The 20,494-nt window shown below is 36.3% G+C and overlaps 1 protein-coding gene across 12 annotated transcripts in view; it reads left to right on the forward strand.

The window, feature by feature from the left end:
* The window catches only part of SMC5 (structural maintenance of chromosomes 5), a 95,896-nt gene extending 77,064 nt beyond the window's left edge, over positions 1-18,832 (forward strand). For 6 of the 12 annotated variants that reach the window (NM_015110.4, XM_005251839.3, XM_005251838.3 and 3 more), the window contains 8 exons: positions 8,103-8,228; positions 10,564-10,608; positions 11,025-11,120; positions 11,572-11,676; positions 11,878-11,997; positions 14,073-14,252; positions 14,335-14,430; positions 16,150-18,832. In NM_015110.4, the coding sequence (NP_055925.2) occupies positions 8,103-8,228; positions 10,564-10,608; positions 11,025-11,120; positions 11,572-11,676; positions 11,878-11,997; positions 14,073-14,252; positions 14,335-14,430; positions 16,150-16,290 (909 nt within the window). In that variant the 3' untranslated portion in view covers positions 16,291-18,832. Of the gene's footprint in view, positions 1-8,102; positions 8,229-10,537; positions 10,609-11,024; positions 11,121-11,571; positions 11,681-11,877; positions 11,998-14,072; positions 14,253-14,334; positions 14,431-15,483; positions 15,807-16,149 lie in introns of those variants that run through there. The other 6 variants (XM_005251837.3, XM_047423034.1, XM_047423033.1 and 3 more) reach the window with 3 other exon arrangements.
* Positions 18,833-20,494: the final 1,662 nt, after the last annotated feature.

Consider the following 20,494-nt stretch of genomic DNA (forward strand, 5'->3'; position numbering starts at 1 on the left):
CTTCCCCATCTATTATTCTACTTCACCAGAGTCTGTCACTCTCCGGCAGGGTTATGTACATGATTCACTGTAACTTAACTGCATAAATGTATTTGTTACATAAATGTGAGCTATATAGGGGTGCCTTTTTGTGGAAAGCATCCACAGAGGGTAGATTTTAGGAAATGTAGACATAGGACTGCACAGGTGAATGGAAAGATTAAATCAGAGTAAAGTAGCAGCTTTATTCTGAAGCCAACCTCTTCAAACCCTTTGACTTAAGAAAAAAACAGTGTTGCTAGCAGATAAGCAACTAGGAGCATGCAGGCACAAACACACATAGCCAAACGAAGCTGAAGATTAGGTTTGATATGCTAGGGCTGGGCAAAATCCAGAGATGTGGAAGACAAGAAAGTCCTCTCCCCCACTCCCCACCTTCACCAAGAACAAAGGAAGGAAAGGATGGCAGAATGAATAGCAATAGTATTCTAAATAGGTAGTCGGTGTCCAGCAAAAAGCAATCAAAGGTAAGTTCCAAATGGGAGTGAAGAAACTGAACTAGCTACCAGAGGAGAGCCTCATCAGGGCTTATTTCCTGGGCATGTGGGGAATGTCATCTGCTACTTTTTCATCTGTTCTATTGGTAAGTAATTGTAGAGTCCATGCTGAAGTTACTTCATTGATTGAGCTTATGAATGTGGTTGTTCCATATAGGAAATGTTGTTATAAAAGAGGTTTCATGAAGAAGTTGACCCATCAGGCAGATACTATTAATATGTGTAGCTTTAAATCCAGTAACACAATTGTATTGGTCCGTTTTCATGCTGCTGATAAAGACATACCCGAGACTGGGCAGTTTACAAAAGAAAGAGGTTTAATGGACTTACAGTTCCATATGGCTGGGGAGGCCTCACAATCATGGCGGAAGACAAGGAGGAGCAAGTCACATCTTACATGAATGGTGGCAGGCAAAGAGAAAGCTTGTACAGGGAAACTCCCCCTTATAGAACCATCAGATCTCGTGAGACTTACTGTCATGAGAACAGCACAGGAAGGACCTGCCCCCATGATTCAGTTGCCTCCCACCAGGTCCCTGCCACAACACGTGGGAATTCAAGATGAGATTTGGGTGGGGACACAGCCAAACTATATCAACAATACAATATTTGATTCTGGTGCCTGAAGTTTTACTTTTACATCAGTATTAATGAGAACTTAAGAAAACGATTTGTTTGTGTCATGTTTACAGAAGTATGAAATCAATGGCTTTGGAGTAAGTATGCTCTTAAACTGTAACCCACACCTGACACAGTGAGAGATACTCTTCCAATAGCCCTTATAGATGGACTGAGATTAGTACAGGTTGGCAGGGTGTTCTCTTCTGATCCATTTTATTAGTAAATAGGATAAATACTGTGTTTTGGGATTTGTTTTTTTTTTTTTTTTTTTTTTTTGGAGACAGTCTTGCTCTGTCACCGAGGCTGGAGTGCAGTGGCACAATCTCAGCTCACTGCAACCTCAGTCTCCTGGGTTCAAGTGATTCTCCTGCCTCAGCCTCCCAAATAGCTGGGACTACAGGCGAGCGCCGCCACACCCTGCTAATTGGCTAATTTTTGCATTTTTAGTAGAGATCGTGTTTCACCATGCCTGGCCTCAAACTCCTGACATCAAATGATCCACCCGCCTCGGCCTCCCAAAGTGCTAGGATTACAGGTGTGAGCCACTACACCTGGCCAAGAAATACTGTTTTGAGTAGAGCTGACTGCCGTGTTTCTGGAAAGTAGGAAAGTTTTTGGGGAGAGGGTTTTGTTTTTAATCAGTGAATTACTAATTTTTTTTTTTTTTAACCAAGACAGCCACTTTCAAATTTAAAGTTAAAATTCCTGTAGTTGAATGCATTTTGGTTATTCAGAAAGCACAAATAGCCACCATAACTCGTTATGTATTATTTTGATTATATTTTAATAGTGCATAATTTCTCAACACATTTGCTGTTTTGTTTTGTTTCCTTGAGAACGGGTTCTTACTCTCTCACCCAGGCTGAAGTGCGGTGGCATGGTCAACAGCTTGCTGCAGCCTGGAAATCCTGGGCTCAAGCAATCCTCCTGCCTCAGCCTTTCCAGGTATCTAGGACTACAGGTGCATGCCACACACCTGGCTAATTTTTTATTTGTAGGGATAGTTCTCACTATGTTGCCCTGGCTGGTCTCAAACTCCTAACCTCAAGCAGTCTTCCCACCTCGGCCTCCCAAAGTACTGGGATTACAGGCATGTGCCACCATGCCCAGCCATTTGCATAATTTTAAAGTTAACTGGAGAAACTTAGCACATTTTGATTCTCTTTTTGTTCTTGTTCCTTTTCCTTGCCCTTTGCCCAATTTAGCCATTACCACATTACTAGTTCACCTCTTTCTAACTATCACGGCTACCACTCTGTCTAGGCATTAAGTCCTAATAGCTGTGGCCTCACTTTTTATGAATTTTGCACTCGTTTAACTGCCAGAAAAAAAAAATTGTGCTGATTTTTATATTCTGCTGCAGAAATCTACAGCTTTATAATATTATACATCATCCAAAGCTTTACAGTAGTCTTCTAATGTCTACTTCCAACTTCTAGCCTTTTTTACCTTGGTTGGCTATTCCAGTGTTCCTACCATTGTTCATAACCTCTGTATCTTTCCCGTATCGTTTGTTCACCTTTTTCATTCTGAGTCCATTGCTGCTTTTAAGACCAGAACTCTTCCTTGACACACATAAGTAACTTTACTTAATACTACCTCTGACTTTATTTTGCATTTCCTCAGCAATATTTTACACCACTCTGTTTTTCTTATTCATATGTTGATTTGAAAGTTCTTAAATGATCTGAGTGTACCTATAGTTCCAACTACTTTGGAGGCTGAGATAGGAGGATCACTTGAGTCCAGGAGTTCAAGTCCATCCTGGGCAACACTGTAAGACCTTATCTCTAAAAAAAAATAAAATAAAATTTTTTAATGCTTTTCATTGATAAATGCTTTACCAGCCCTTTTGTAAGGTTCTTTCATTTCTTGTTGTGCATACTTAATAAATGTTTGTTGCTGTCTGATCGTAGTCATTAGCCACACATTTGAAAGAGTCAAGAATGGGCTGGGCACGGTGGCTCACGCCTGTAATCCCAGCACTTTGGGAGGCCGAGGTGGGTGGATCACGAGGTCGGGAGATCGAGACCATCCTGGCTAACGTGGTGAAACCCCATCTCTACTAAAAATACAAAAAATTAGCCGGGTGTGGTGGCGGGCGCCTGTAGTCCCAGCTACTCGGGAGGCTGAGGCAGGAGAATGGCGTGAATCTGGGAGGCGGAGCTTGCAGTGAGCCGAGATCACACCACTGCACTCCAGCCTGGGCGACAGAGCGAGACTCCGTCTCAAAAAAAAAAAAAAAGAGTCAAGAATGATGACTAAAATTATGTAGTAGAATAGGTGTATGATAGTTCACTTTCTCTTTTACCTACTCTTGTTTTCTTCTCATGTTTGCTGCCATTTACCTGCACATGATTTTTATCTATCTCATCTGTTCCTGCTATGCAGCTTCACTTGAACCAAAGAGAAATTTTTTTTTCCTACTTGTCCCTTTGAACACATGGCAGGTTGCTCTGAGGAACTATTGCTACCACTTGGTTTTGTCCTTTTTTCTTTCTTGAAAATAAATTCACAAAAGAAGATTGACACAAAATTTCAGGGGAGATTGTATTTATGAGGGGACCGTGGAGTTTGATACTTTCTCAGATTTTTGGAAGGTAAATAGGGCAACAGACCTATAAAACATCCCCTGAAAAAGGTAGATGGTGGGAAGCCTCTCTTTGGTAATGTCACTAACTTATGGGCTATTTTTAGGACAAATTAGTAAGCTGTGTGTGAATCCAAATACAGAGGTCGATAAAAATTTCTTGTTATTTCGTTTTTGACCATGGGCAGGTTTCCTAACCACTCCAAGCTTAATCATTCTCTGCAGCCATAAGTATGATACCTACCTAATTTGGAGGGATATTATGATATTCAGTTTAATAATATATATCAAGATGCCTAGTGTGCTGCTTAGCATGAAGCCAGTGTTTCCTTTAAAAGTGTAGATTTACATCAGAATTAATATTAGTTATAAAGATGGAAAGTTGTTACATTTATTTGCTTATTCTAATACCAAATTTAGGAGCTCTGTGCTTTTCATCTGACCTCTCTTCTGCCTACCTGCTTGCCACTCCCTCAAAAAAGAACTGTTTCAGAGGAGACTTTTTTTTTTACTTAGATGAAATTTTGAAGAAAACATTTTACAAAGAAATAGTATTATTCCCATTATTTTATTGTTTATGATTAAATTAGTTTAAGTAGAATTTATGGTCTTGTGTATTAAAAGTTAAGATTATTATTCTAAATTTCTAGCATTACATTAAAATTTAAAGTTGACTTTCTAAATGAATGATTTTTATATTTTTAAGTGTGTATTCTGTCTGGTAACTAAAACAAATGGTTAACATTTGAATTTGAAATCAACTAAATTGGAATGATGTTTTATTAAAGGAAAAATGAGGGAGAAATGTGTTAATTTACAGCTAATGTTTTAGTAAAAGTTGATGATACCTAGAACTTAATTTTATTCATATAGAAAATGGTTTTCATTTTATTTGATTCTTATTTTAATGAACTGTTACTAAAATAACAGTTTTAATATATACAGTTTTCATAAGAAATTCTGTGAATAATTCTTACTTCTTCCACAAGAGGGCCTTCTTAGAAAAGCTTTTTCTTGTTTAATGTCGAGGTATTTCTGTACAATTTCCATGAGAAGTGAACTTTCCATAAAAAGAATTTTAGAAAAAAAGATAATACTTACAAATTTTTTCTAGGGTATATAACTACAAAGTAATCTTTTTTGAGATGTTAGTGGGGGATATTTTGTACATTTCACTCATTTCTTATCTTACATCTTAAACAGATGGAGTATTTTCTATTCTCTATTAACTATTAAAGGCTAGACTCTAAGCAGAAATGTAGATAAAGCCTTTTCACTAGTCTGACTTTACAGCATTATCTGATATAATTATATATGCCTTCCCACTTCTACCCTTAAAAAGCTCAGCAAGAATTGTGGTTTTAAAAACAAAAAGCAAAACAAGTGCCATGTGAAGATCTCTATCACAAACACATATGTATAGAATATTTTCTCAGATAAATATTTTATTACACATATGCCACCAAACAAACTATTAAATGAGGTTTTGTCTTTCTAAGTCCAGAGCTTCAAATTATCAACTCATTGATACTTCTTTTCCATAATGTTCTAATACTTTATTTTAGCAAAGTCCAGAGGAACAAGAATCAGGAATAGAAGAAATTAGGAGTATTTAGTTTCTATCCAGCTGCTCCTTGTTTTGCATTTGCCTGAGTACAATGGTCCTTAGCAGAGTAGGGGTGATTGGGAGTCTTTAACATTTTCTTTTATTTCTCTCAAGCTATAGGGACTGAGGAATTTATTCAAGGAAACTATAGTACTAAGTGGTTAGTATAAAGGATTGCTTGCATTTTCAGTTTGGTCCAGTATCTATCCTTTCACTTTTCATAACTATTGTCTTGGTTTAGTTTATTTGCTATCAAACCCATGTGCATAAAAGTCACCTGAGGGCCCGCTTAATAATACAGGTGTCCCCAGTTAGAATGGCATTCATTAAAAAGTCAGGAAACAACAAGTGCTGGAGAGGATGTGGAGAAATAGGAACACTTTTACACTGTTGGTGGGACTGTAAACTAGTTCAACCATTGTGGAAGACAGTGTGGCAATTCCTCAAGGATCTAGAACTAGAAATACCATTTGACCCAGCCATCCCATTACTGGGTATATACCCAAAGGACTATAAATCATGCTGCTATAAAGACACATGCACACGTATATTTATTGCGGCACTATTCACAATAGCAAAGACTTGGAACCAACCCAAATGTCCAACAATGATAGACTGGATTAAGAAAATGTGGCACATATACACCATGGAATACTATGCAGCCATAAAAAATGATGAGTTCATGTCCTTTGTAGGGACATGGATGAAATTGGAAATCATCATTCTCAGTAATCTATCACAAGGACAAAAAACCAAACACCGCATGTTCTCACTCATAGGTAGGAATTGAACAATGAGAACACATGGACACAGGAAGGGGAACATCACAGTCTGGGGACTGTTGTGGGGTGGGGGGAGGGGGGAGGGATAGCATTGGGAGATATACCTAATGCTAGATGACGAGTTAATGGGTGCAGCACACCAGCATGGCACATGTATACATATGTAACTAACCTGCACATTGTGCACATGTACCCTAAAACTTAAAAGTGTAATAATAATAAAATAATAAATAATAATAATACAGGTGTCCAGACCTCAGCCCCGGAGATATTAATCAAGTAGATCTGGAATGTGCTTAGGCCATTCCATATCCCCCACCCCCAGCTGTTTTTTGTGCCAACCAGAGTTTGAGGGTTAGTGAAAAGAGCAAACCAGACCTGTTTTATTTCTCAGAAATCTGCTAGTTCCGTAACCTTGGGCAAGTTTCTTAATGTGTCTGAGCCACATCTACAAATAGAGATAACCCTTTTCTTTAAGATCATAATTGGGATTAGAACAATTAACAGGATAGTGGTTGTAACAGTGCTTGACCTACAGAAGACATTTAGTAGATGAGATACCTTCCCTGTTGCATGTGAAATTTTTGCAGTCTGGCCCTTGTCCATTTTACCAACTCTGATCTTTTACATCCTTACAAATTCCTCTCCTCCAGCCACATTAGATTACTTGTTTCTTAAATAAGCAGGTCTTTGAGGCTCATATGCCTTAAAATTCATAATCACCTGTCCTTGGAATGTCATCTGCTGTATATGTTCCTTATTTCTTGTCATTTAAGGCTGTTAAGTTGTCATAGCTTCTGTGACCACTCTGACCTTCCCTACATACATACTCTGTCCAATCTGCTCCTGCTGAGAGGTGCCATGCTGTAATGAAAAGAGCATGTGTCCTGTAAGCAGACAGGGATCTGAATCATGACAGTCTCTAACTAAATGTGTGGGCTTGGGCAAGTTACTTAATTCCTTTCAGTCTCTTTTTTTTTTTTTTAATGCGCTAAATGAGGATAATATTACTGTGCAGTGTTTGTGAGAAATAAAGGGAATAATGTATGCGAAGCACCTAGCCAAGGGCCCAGCACATAAGCATTCGGTAAAGAGTATCTGTTTCTGTTATGATAATGATCCTGTGTCCTTATTCACCTTTCTGTGACCAATGCGGATTATAATACTGGCATTTAATAGGTTCTCAGTAATTATTTGGTGAAGGAATAAATAGGTCCATGAATAAATAAATACATGGAAGGTACTTGGAAAACTATCAAGCATGATTTAAAGGTTCTAACTACATTTGAGTGCTGAGTTTTGTCATATGAAGCCTGTGTACTGTGTATCTCAAATCTGATTATAATATAATTACATGACCGGGCCTGGTGGCTCACACCTGTAATCCCAGCACTTTTGAGAGCCCAAGGCGGATGGATCACTTGAGGCCAGGAGTTGGAGACCAGCCTGGCCAACATGGTGAAACCTTGTCTCTACTAAAAACACAAAAATTAGCCAGGCATGGTGGTACACATCTGTAATCTCAGCTACTCGGGAGGCTGAGGCGTGATAATCACTTGAATCTGGGAGGCAGAGGTTGCAGTGAGCTGAGATCACGTCACGTCACTGCACTCCAGCCTGGGTGACAGAGCAAGATTGTCTCAAAAAAATAAATAAATAAGTAAATAAATAAATAAATATAATTACATGGAGCTAAGCTAGACTTTCAGGAAAAGGCAGTAAAATTTAAATTTTACACCTCTTATGGATTAGAGAAATGCCAGGTTATTGATGTGCTGATGTATTTTAAAGTTTAAGTTCAAGTTTAACCTTTATAATAAAAAGAGTCATTATTTAAGAAACAGTTTCAGATAATTTGATTATCATTATAATCAGAATTCAACAATATTTAATATGTGGTAGTTTAATAAAACATCCCTCTGCTTTAACATTAACATTCAAATTTTCAAAATAAATTTTTTTAATAGCAACATTTCATTGAATTGGATGAAAATAGACAGAGATTATTGCAGAAATGCAAGGAACTTATGAAAAGAGCTAGGCAAGTATGTAACCTGGGTGCAGAGCAGACTCTTCCTCAAGAATACCAGACAGTAAGTATAAAAAGTATATAATGCTACAATTGCCATATTTAACATTTTTAAGATTATGGAATCTTAGCCATTGTAACAGGCCGTGAAAAACATGATGTGTCGTAAAAAATAGGGAGTTTTTCCACATTTTTAAACTGAATATATATATATATATAAAATAATGTTGCTTAAGAGATCAATGGTATTGGTACTATAACATTTATTCTTCCAATACAAATGCCTTTTAATGGGTACAGTTGGAACATATATAGTTTTTCATGGAAACATTGTACCAGTAATTGGTATATCAGAAATAATAAATAGAATATTTTAAAAATAAAGGGAAAATGAAAATGTTTCCCTGGAAATTGGGGTGTTTAATTAGGGTTCAATGAGAGCTGAATATTTAAGGCTAACATCTGCCAATAAGAAAAGGAAAAAAGAGGTCTTATTTCCATTATATTTTTTATCCTGACATACCACTCAGTAAAATTAGGAGATGCTGCCCTTTAGTCACATTCCACCGTTAATTATGTACCTCTGTGACAAGTGGGGATGATACTTTGCCTAGATACCTATTCAGAATAATGTCAAAATGAAATTAGAAAATAAGTTTTAAAATATCTAGTATTGGTGTGTCTTTAAAATTCTTAATTTCAAATGTTATCTATTTCAGTAGATAATGAAATGGCTACTAAAGATATAAACAACTGGAAAAAAATTAATGGATTATAATTTTCAAATCCTCAATTGATTTATTTTATGATATCAGACACAGAAATCACAGAGAATGGATTCGACTAATTGGATACATACTAGGAACTTAGTAGATATCTTTAAAACAAATTGAGAAGCTTGTTTCTAAAAACAGTAGAATGTCTTCAGAATACATTGTGTTGTTATAAAATAAATATAAGTACAATCTACTAATTTTTTTTTTCAGAAAAAGCATGATTCTATTCTTGATAAGTCATACTGTTTTTGAATCAAAATTAGGAGATGATTATATTCATTAAAATGTATTAATTACCTCTTATATGTCAAGCATTGTACAAGACAGACATACTTCCTTCTCAGCTGAAACTTATATTCTAGTCTGGAAGATTGGGTAGATGAAAACACAAATCAAAAATCAGATAATGTCAGATAACAAGAGATGCTAAGAAAAATAAAACAGGGTGAGGAGATGGAGTGACATGGATGGGAACTTGGTCAGGGAAGCCTCCTTTGAAAAGATACCATTTTATAACAGTCCTGAATGAAGAGAACAGATCAGTCAAGTGAAGATGTCAGGCAAAAGTATTCCAGACAGAGAAAATAGCTCAGACAACGCCCAAGACAGAAGTATATTTGGGATGTTTCAGAATAAAAGGAATCTCATTGGGGTTAAAAATTATCCAAGCAGAGAAGAAGGCAGAAGCCAAGATTATGTAGGCCTTGTAGACTATACAAGCAATTAAGGTTGTATTCTTTTGGGATGGACTCCAGTGGAGGATCTTAAATGGAAAAGTGACATTACTACTTTTATGAACGAGCACTCTAACTTTTCTTCTAGATGGAGGATAAAGTAGGGATACAAGAATGGAAGCAGTGAAACCATTTAGAAGGTCATTTCTTTGGACCACGTAAGAGATACATGATGGCATGAATTAGGGTGATAGCACTGAAGAGAGAGAGGGAGAAGTTGACAAGTCTTAGGTATCTTTTAGTGACAGAGCCAGCAAGACTTGCTGATGGATTTGACATGAAGGATGAGAGAGAGAACCCCTAAATTTTTCACCTGAACAAATTACGATGCCATTTACTGGAATGGAGAAGATTGAAGGAGAAACAGGGTTGCTTAAAGTGATAGGGAAGGTGGGTGAAATCCAGATTCTGTTTCACCATCTTAAATTTAAGATGCCTATTAGAGTCAAGTGAGGATATCGAGTAAATAAATGTTGGACACATGAGCTTACATCTCAGTAAGTCAGAGATTCAACAGAGGAATATTTGAAGGTCTATAGAGGTTGAACTGCTTTCTAAGAGGTTAAAATAATAAGTTTAAGATATTAGATTAATATGTCAAGATCTTTTTCAGGGTTTCAGGATTCATTTTGTACCATGTAGTATATAGCCTTTGCAGGTTGTGCTAGGCCAAACAATGTACTGATTGCCTCCCCTCAAAAAAAAAAGTATATGTTCTAATTTGTCCCCATGGCATGGACTCAGAAGATAGTACTGTGGTGAAATTCAACTGTCAAAGTAATTAGATTCTCAGGATGCTTTTTTAGTTCTTCATAAGTGCAGTATAAAGTTCTAACTTCTTGCTCTCTTTCAATGCCCCACATATTCTGGACCCATTCTACCAATTCAGCAAGTACCCACCATTCCAAATGGACACAACTCCTCACTCCCCATGGTATGCAGTACTCATTCTTTTTTCCCAAGCTCCTGTTTTCCCTCTGCCTTGCTCCTCCCTAGCCATTTGCTTTAAGGCCCGGAGATGAATTCTAGGCCTTTGAATTCTCTTAACTCTCCTGTAGCATGAACTGATACTTCTTTTCTCTAAATTCCTAGCCTATATGATATGTACTGCTTGTTTTAATACTCAACATCAATACATTGCCTTAAAGTGTTATCCAGTACATACATTTTGTTTTCTTTAAAGTACAAGCTTTTGAAGGCAAATGACCCTGTTTATTATTCCTTTGTATTCTTGTGTGCCAGCATGCTGTTGAACAGATAGATAACTTATTCAGCAGATTATTTTTCTTTTAACTATTTGAATGGAACTGTTTTCATTGTATCTATAATGACGGGCAATTTTTTTCTTAGGTTTTCCAAGACCTTCCAAACACATTGGATGAAATTGATGCTTTATTAACTGAAGAAAGATCAAGAGCTTCCTGCTTCACGGGACTGAATCCTACAGTATGCCTGTTTCTCTATTCCCATTCTGCATCCAACCACCACCACCACCCTCCCCATACACACACATACACACACAGAGTTCCCTCCAGTACTTGCCTCCCACTCTGTACTAGAGCTCTTGGTAATAATAAGCTAGACAGCAGGAACAATGTACTTTAAATGCCAGATTCTGAATCTATTAGAATTTTAAATAGATTCTTCCTAAGGAACACAATGTTCTGTGCCTTTTCTTTATAAAAAGAATAGTTGGGCTAACCTGAAATACTGCAATGTCTATTTTTTCAAGGATAAAAAATGTCACTTTCAGTATGTAATAAGAGCATATATTATTTGCATACAAACAATGCAGCACAATTGGCATTTTCATTTAATGTTTTAATCAATGCAAAATTGTATATAGTTTTATCCTTTGGTAGATTTATCTTAAAGAAGTTTTTTTTTCCCCTGCCAGATTGTTCAGGAATATACAAAAAGAGAAGAAGAAATAGAACAGTTAACTGAGGAACTAAAGGGAAAGAAAGTTGAACTAGATCAATACAGGGAAAACATTTCACAGGTAATTTTTTAGTTTTTAATCTTTTTATCATGTGATTATTAATGAAATGGGAATGTAGAATAATGGAAAATGAGATGACATGCTTCTAAGAGAAGTGTGTTATGCCCAGACTGATACTGATATAAAATTTACATAAAATTGTGTGTCAGAATATAGTAATACTGCTTTTAAATTGTGTTTTTATATTGCCTTTATTTGTAGGTAAAAGAAAGGTGGCTTAATCCTTTAAAAGAGCTGGTAGAAAAAATTAATGAAAAATTCAGCAATTTTTTTAGTTCCATGCAGTGTGCTGGTGAAGTTGATCTCCATACAGAAAATGAGGTAAAATTGCATTTGAAATAAATAATATTTCTGGCAAATAATTTTAATTATATGCTTAAAGTACATATAAATTATTTATTTACTTTTGAGTTATATCTGTGAAAAGTTTTGTTTACCAAAATGTTGAAAGAAAGGAGAAAACCACCTGTGGGATTCCATTAGGGTCACTTTTTTTGGGGGGGGTTATGTTTGGAATTAGTGACTAATACCTTGTAACTCTTTTTATACATCTGAGTAATGGTTATTCAGTTGTATTGAATAAATACGTTATAAAGCTACCACAGCTGGAGTTAGAAGACTCAAACAGATTAGTTTGAAATATAGTGTATATCAGTGTCTTTTTTTTTTTAATAAAGAATTTAAGAATTCATGGTCAGGTGTGGTGGCTCACGCCTGTAATCTCAGCACTTTGTGAGGCTGAGGCAGGCAGATAGCTTGAGCTCACGGGTTTGAGACCAGCCTGGGCAACATGGCAAAATCGCATCTCTGTAAAAATACAAAAATTAGCTGGGTGCGGTGGTATGTACCTGTGGTCCCAGCTACTCTGGAGGCTGAGGTGCAAGGATGACTTGAGCCTGGAAGGTGGAGGTTCCAGTGAGCCAAAATGGTGCCACTGCACTCCAGCCTGGGCAACAAAACCAGACCTTGTCTCAAAAAAAAAAAAGAATTTAAGAATTTATAAGAATGGAAATAGTGGGAAATTTGCTACTAATTTCTTGTGCTGTAAGTTTATGCATTGCAATTTGGGCTAAAATTAATTTTTCTTTAAGACAGGCAAAGGCCAGGTGCTGTGGCTTATGCCTAATCCCACTTTGGGAGGCCAAGGCAGGAGGATCACTTGAATTCAGGAGTTTGAGACCAGCCCGGGCAACAGAGTGGGACAGAGACTCTGTCTCAAAAAAAAAGTAACTACTAGAAAATTGAAAATTACATATGTGGGTTGTATTATATCTTTCTCTTGCTCAGTACTATCTTAGACCTTAAAGCTCTATTCAATTAATAGATAACCTTTAATTAGTAAGTTTCATGTTTTTCGTTTTGGTTTTTTGAGACAAAGTCTCACTCTCACCCAGGCTGGAGCGCAGTGGCGCAATCTTGGCTCACTGCAACCTCCACCTCCTGAGTTCAAGCTATTCTTCGGCTTCAGACTCCCAAGTAGCTGGGATTACAGATGCCTGCCACCATGCCCGGCTAATTTTTGTATTTTTAGTAGAGATGGGATTTCCCCATGTTGGCCAGGCTGGTCTCAAACTCCTGACCTGAAGTGATCCACCCCCCTCGGCCTCCCAAATTGCTGGGATTACAGGCATGAGCCACCACACCCGGCCTAATTAGTAAGTTATGTATCTCATTTTTAAGGTAAATCTGAACCTGACATAGAAGTGCCATCAATAAGAATAGTAAACCTTAGAGCATCCTCAGTTTTGGCAACATTTATAAAACACTAATGTACTCATTACAACAAATATTTATTGAGCACCTATTACGTGCCAGGCTTGCTTTTTGCTGAGTATTGTGTGTATGTATGACTTAAGTTTTCAAAGTATATGTGTAATTCCTACCTTGTTTTTTTCCTTCTTAACCGACTGAAGAAGTTAGGGGGATTCTTGGCCCTCTGCAGTTACCATACACAACCACTTCTCTAGCACAAGAGAGCATGACACTCCATTATGTTCTAATTGCTTTCACCTACAGTTTAAGAACCTAGCATTTTGGAACTAGAATAGATAGTGCTTTTTGAGGACAGAGTTCCTCGCTCAGTAATTTCTAAAAACTCTTGGGGAAGCCTACTAAACTTGAATAGAATGGTATAGAGGAGGAAAATGTTAATTTAATCTGAATAATTTCCTTATCTAAATAGTTCTTTGAAAACCCTTAAAGCTTTTAGATAGTAACTGTTTGCTTAATATTTATTATTTTTAAAAATACATATATATTTATTGTTACATATTTAAACTAGTGTCACTAAATTTTGAGTTCTTTACTCTTACTCAGTTAATTCAATCCATTTTCAAATAATAGAATGACATTACCAGAGGAAACTCATTTTTCATCACTTTTTAAATGTTTTATAGGAAGATTATGATAAATATGGAATTCGAATTAGAGTCAAATTTCGAAGTAGTACTCAACTGCATGAATTAACTCCTCATCATCAAAGTGGAGGTGAAAGAAGTGTTTCTACCATGTTATACTTGATGGCACTTCAGGAGCTAAATAGATGTCCATTCAGAGTAGTTGATGAAATCAATCAGGTATGGTGATTGTTCTGTTACTTGGATCTTCTTATATCCTGTAACAGGAATAAATGTAATCATTATTGTTGCCATTGTTTAGGGAATGGACCCAATCAATGAACGGAGAGTGTTTGAAATGGTTGTAAATACTGCCTGTAAAGAAAATACATCTCAATACTTTTTCATAACACCAAAGGTAGGTAAAAAGTAACCTAAAAGTGGTCATATACTCAGAAATCTCCTGTGACATAATCATACAGTTTTTGTCCCAACATGCACATATTAGCAGGAACACTCCCAAAAAAGGAATTTAAAAGGTTAACAGTAATATTTACATTATTAAAGGGACAAATTCCAGTGTCATGCTTAATCAGAGGAAGAAAGGTAGGAGGCATATTATTATGTTCTAAAATTGAGATTGTCTCATTTCTCTTCTAGAAAAGGTACTCTTTCAGCACTGAAAGATGAGTGGGGAATACAACCCTTAAGACTCTGGCTCTTCATTTTCCCAAAAAAGCCTCTCTTGTCATATACTGCCCTTCCTCTTTATTTGCCACTAGTACTAAGCTGGCCCAGGAGAAATTTAAGTATCCCAACATCTTCTATTCACAGGTTAATTCTGATAAAAACAGAATTATCTTTGTAGATAATTTTTCATAATCTAAAACCATTGCAATGGGAAATTTTCTTTTGCTAAATCTAGTGCTGTGAGTAAATTACAAAGCATATGTATTCAAAGATATGTTTTTAATGTAACCAGATTTTTTCCATTTTAAGTATTCATGAAAAATTTTGGCCAGGTGCACTGGCTCATACCTGTAGTCCCACTACTTTTTGAGGCCAAGGCAGGTGGATCACTTGAGCCCAGGAGTTCAAGACCAGCCTGGGCAACATGGCAAAACCCCATCTCTACAAAAAAAATACAAAAATTAGCTGGACGTGGCAGCATGCGCCTATAGTCCCAGCTACTTGGGAAGCTGAGGCATGAGGATCGCTTGAGTCTGGGAGGTGGAGGTTTCAGTGAGCCCAGATCACACCACTGCACTGCAGCCTGGGTGACAGAATGAGACCTTGTTCCAAAAAAAAAAAAAAAATTGTTTTTGCCCATCCTACATTCAAATTTTTATTAAATAGTGTCATCTGTCTTCTTTTTTTCAGTAGATAGTCTTGTGGAATAGTCACATCTGTTAATACCCTACTGCTTGCCAAATACCTTAGTCTACAAATGTCCCTGTTACACACTTTTCAGGATACCAGGCTATCAAAGAAGTTGCTTGAGAAGTGTTTATAAATAAAAAGTGAAAGTATCTACCCTAGGAAAATTGTGGAGGACATACTCTTTTCCAAGGTCTGCCAAGGAAGTTGAATAATCCCAGTTATCCTGTGAATCTAGAGGGCTGGATTATTCCTTATTTTGATTGTTCCTTAGGCCAGGCTACAGGTATGCTAATTTAGGTAAGGATTACAGTCTGGCAAGGTTTATATTGAGGTGTTTAAGAGCTTCTTAAGAGTCTTATTGGCTGGGGACAGTGGCTCACACCTGTAATCTCAGCACTTTGGGAAGCCAAGGCGGGCAGATCACCTGAGGTCAGGAGTTCGAGACCAGCCTGGCCAACATGGTGAAACCCTGTCTGTACTAAAAATACAAAAAGTTAGCTGGGCCTGATGGTGCATGCCTGTAATCCCAGCTACTCTGGAGGCTGGCTGAGGCACGAGAATCTCTTGAATCTGGGTGGTGGAGGTTGCACTGAGCTGAGATCGCACCTCTGTACTCCGGCCTGAGCAGCAGAGTGGGAAAAAAAAAGTTTTATTAATATTGCAAATAAAATAATACATTTGACTGTACACATGTAAGGTTGGAAAACTATACTTCTCAGTATATAGCTTATATGACAATTTGTTTTAATACTTACAGCTCCTGCAAAATCTTCCTTATTCTGAAAAGATGACAGTTTTGTTTGTCTACAATGGCCCTCATATGCTGGAACCAAACACATGGAATTTAAAGGCTTTCCAAAGGCGGCGGCGCCGTATTACATTCACTCAACCTTCTTAATAAAAGTAAAGAGAGGGAACTTGGGAATTTTTTTTGTTAAATTCTGTTTATAAGTATGGCTCAACTGAATAAAAGGAGATTCACTAAAACGAAAAGCAGTTATTTTTGGAAACCTGCTTTTAAATACAAATAGGTTGATAATGGAAACTATAATGACCTTTCCAAAATAGCAGCTGGTAGTAAAAGTTAAGTCTTCTTCAGTCTTGGTTGAACTTGAGTTCTTGGCACTCTGACCATGAGTCATTCAGTTCTCATGTTAAAATGTACTTAATATTACAAATCAAAGGTACAGTGGAAGAAGGGTTAATCACAAGAAGTTACTTATATGGTAGCCCTGAGCTTTAATTGCAGAGTAACTTTAATTACTTTTAGAGCCTAAAGATGACTCTAGAGCCTAAGTCCTAGTTTCTCCCAATGTTATATTTAATTTTAAAAAATTGATATGAAAATGTCTAATGTATAGTAATAATTTATGACAGATCTAGTCATTTCTTCCTATTAAAAAAGATTACCTTATCTCCAGTAGGAAATGGAATTTTATGGGCCTTTAAAAGAAAGTTTTATGAAACTTGATGCTATAATTTTATTGGTATTTCAAGGGGAAAAAAGCACTGGGGTTCAAAAATGGTAGCAGAACTGCTTTGAAATGCTGCAAGGTGGCCACTAGATGATGCAAAATACAACCAAAAGATTGACTGAGAATAAAATTAGGTGACAAGGGTTTTTAAAGAATAACCTTTTAAAGTGTGGGGGCAGGGGTTGCTTTTTTTTATTTTATTTAAAGTCAATTATATTTTACATCTTACATTTCTAAAAGCATTTTATAATTATTTTTAGTAAGATTTTTCTTAAAATTTCATATACTGGTTTCTACAATTTATATTTGAAATTTCTCAGTGTTATGTAAAGAGTGATGGAAAAGCATTGATTTCTTTAAAACCGTAATGTTTTTAGAACTTAAGCCTATAGGGCCTTTCTTACAATGTTGATGTACCCATTATCTTAGAAAATCTAGTTTAAACTGTTTTCTTTCACCGCAAAAGAATTAAATGGGAAAATCATTTGTTTATCTCTAAGTTATACTAATTAGTAGAACCAAACAAATTATCTTCTTTTAAAAAATAAATCTTATAGGAAAATAGACAGTCCAAAGTCATGTCTTTGAACAGTGGATTGGATCTGTGCCAGTAATGACAAAATTATTTTTTTGACTTGCTTGCCTGAATAAATTGAAGAATTGCTTTCAGTTTGGGTTTTGTATATTCTTAAGTAGCCATTGAAATTTATATTCTTAACTAGGTCAAAAAATAATGAGCCATAAGTTTATGTCCTCTCACTTAGACATTTTCTCTTTAAAAAGGTATTTTCTTCTTTATAAACATTTTAAAAGAGCCTTCCCTTCTTAAACTAACTCCAGTGCATGAAGTGTGAAAATATTTTAAAATGACATTTTTACTAATATGAGCAAGTCATGTAAACATTGAAGAACTTGGTAACATATTAGTAAATGGATATTACCAAATGTTTTCATCGTTAATTACTTTGCGTTCCACCAAAATATCTTTACTAAAATGTGCTTGGTGTAGTTTGTTTATTGTCTAAATTAGTACCAGTCATCTTATTTCTGCAAAATGAGTATCAATGTGAAAAAGACACGTGAAGATTAAGCATGTTTGAAAATAAAATGGTCAATTACATTTCAATTTACATAGGCCAACAACTGTTCCATACTTTGTTTGTAAACATTTAATTTCTCTACTGGACAAAATTAATATTTGGCTTTACATTGAATTTTGAGCTGTGAAGAATAAATTATGTATCATTTTAGCATATTAAACAGTAGTAAGTCTAGCACATAGTCTCAGCCACTTAAAACAAAAGTTTTTTTGTTTGTTTGTTTGTTTGTTTTTTTGAGATGGAGTCTCACTCTGTTGCCCAGGCTGGAGTGCAGTGGCGTGATCTCGGCTTACTGCAACCTCCGCCTCCCGGGTTCAAGCGATTCTCCTGCCTCAGCCTCCCAAGTAACTGGGACAACAGGCGCGTCCCACCACACCCAGCTAATTTTTTATACTTTTAGTAGAGATGGGGTTTCAGCATATTGGCCAGGCTGGTCTCGAACTCCTGACCTTGTGATCCACCCGCCTCGGCCTCCCAAAGTGCTGGGATTATAGGCGTGAGCCCCTGCACCCGGCCAAAAGTTGATTTTTAATTACATAAAAATCGTAAAAACTTCTAGTAAAAACTTGATTTGGTGAATACAGTTATATTTAAAAACCTTAAGGTGACAAGCATTTTCTATGCCTAAATCTTCATTGGTTTGCCTGGAAAGAGTCTCTGTTAAAAGATTTTCCATATTCAAAGTAAAAGGAAAGATTTCTTGCTTTCTAATTGTCTTTTGGACACATGCCTATTTTCTTTGAGGTATAAACCTTTAGATGTGAAAAATGTAATTTCATTCTGCTATTGTGTGTGCTTGTGTGTGTGTAATTGAAAAAACTGGGAAATCCTGCTTTGTTGGTAATAAATCAATATTTTTATATTCTTTTGGTGTATGTTATTTTAAGTGAGAACTATTTTTTATACTCTGAACCTTATTAAGAGTCATTTTGGTTTTCAGATTTACTAAAAAAAGGTCTGTTAAGTACCCACATTTACAAAATAGTGTTCAGCAGTCTATTAGTGTTCGAAAGGGTAGAAAATTTAGTCCCTTTTCTGCCTGCAGTGAAATCACAGTCTAATAGAAGCAATAAACACTCATGAAAAAAAGGTTTAAACCATTTAAAGAAGCCAAGTTACAAGGCCGAGTATTCATCAGAGAGGCTGCAACATAGGTTAACTGTTTTTATGTTTAAACACTATGTTTGCTAACATGCCCAATAGCCAATTTTCACTTATTACTCCTTACATTAAGCTACTATATAAAGTAATTTTTTTAAAATATATTTTTGAGTCAGGCAGACTTTCACTTACAAGTTACTTGATAGTCTCATCATTGGTGAAATGAGAATCATACCTAATTCACAGAGTTGTTGAGAGGAGCAAATGAGATCGGGGCCTATTGGGACACATAGCATTATAGTGAGTACATTATTAATGTTTATGTATCTTCTCATATTTTAAATCTTGAAAAATGTACTGTGAATTTTATACACCCAGGTCTGAAAATTCTAAATAATGTGAAAGTAGAGATTATTTTGTAGTCTATTGATAAATAGTTCAAAGGATGCCAATACCTACAGACTGAGCATTGGGGAGTGCTGATAGTTATTTTTATAGATCTTGTTACCTTGTTAAATTCAAATATAAGTTAGTCAGATGAGCTTCTTTAAAGATATTCCATCTCATTATTTTATATTGATATATAATTTGGAAATTTTATAATTAATAGAATTTGCACATTTGGGAGATATGACTATGTTGACAATTTGGGCTTTTTATTTCCACCAAAAAGGTTAGGTATGGGGGATTTTATTTATTTTTTAATGTTGAATTATAACTTTATTGCTGCAAAATAAATGACTGGTGATTGGCTGGAAGATTTAGATATTTTCAAAAAAGCCAGCTTTGTATAATCCCAAAGAGAGAGAGCAGGTCTCCTCTGGTTAGCTTCATTCTAAGCTGTGCTAAGAGGACTTGGTGAAGCTGAGGGCAACCTAAAAACAGCTCTGGCCCTGGCCCTGGCCCTGGCCCTGCCTTTATCAGAGAGGCTGCAACGTAGGTTAGTTATTTTTAGGTAGGTCAGAAACACCTGAAAGACGTTCTCCTTCCACAAATAGTACCTTACCTGTCTGACCATGCTTTTGTTAGTAAACTTTAATTTCCTTTTGCCTGAGGAGACTGTTACACGCTCTTGGCATCCAGGGTCATGCGTTTAGAGTGAAGGTTGAGGGGAAAGGGTGCCAAGAGGGTCACTTGACCATTTCTGCCAAATTTAAGGAGTGGGTTAATGAATTCCAGTGCAGGAAAGATTTGGGACAAGCTGCCCAATGAATGTTATGATAGAATGGTAAATTTTACATTCCTTTCATATTATTTAGAATTTATTTTAAAAAAGAGATGAGGTCTTGGTATATTGCCTAGGCTTGTCTCAAACCAGCCTCAAACCTCTCTCGGCCTCCCAAAGTGCTGGGATTACAGGTGTGAGGCGCTGCACCCAGCCTAGAATTTTAGTCCCAGTGATCTCTGACAGTGAAATTCTGTACCA

The sequence above is a fragment of the Homo sapiens genome, chromosome 9 (genome assembly GCF_000001405.40).
Source record: "Homo sapiens chromosome 9, GRCh38.p14 Primary Assembly".
Classification (NCBI taxonomy): Eukaryota; Metazoa; Chordata; class Mammalia; order Primates; family Hominidae; genus Homo; species Homo sapiens.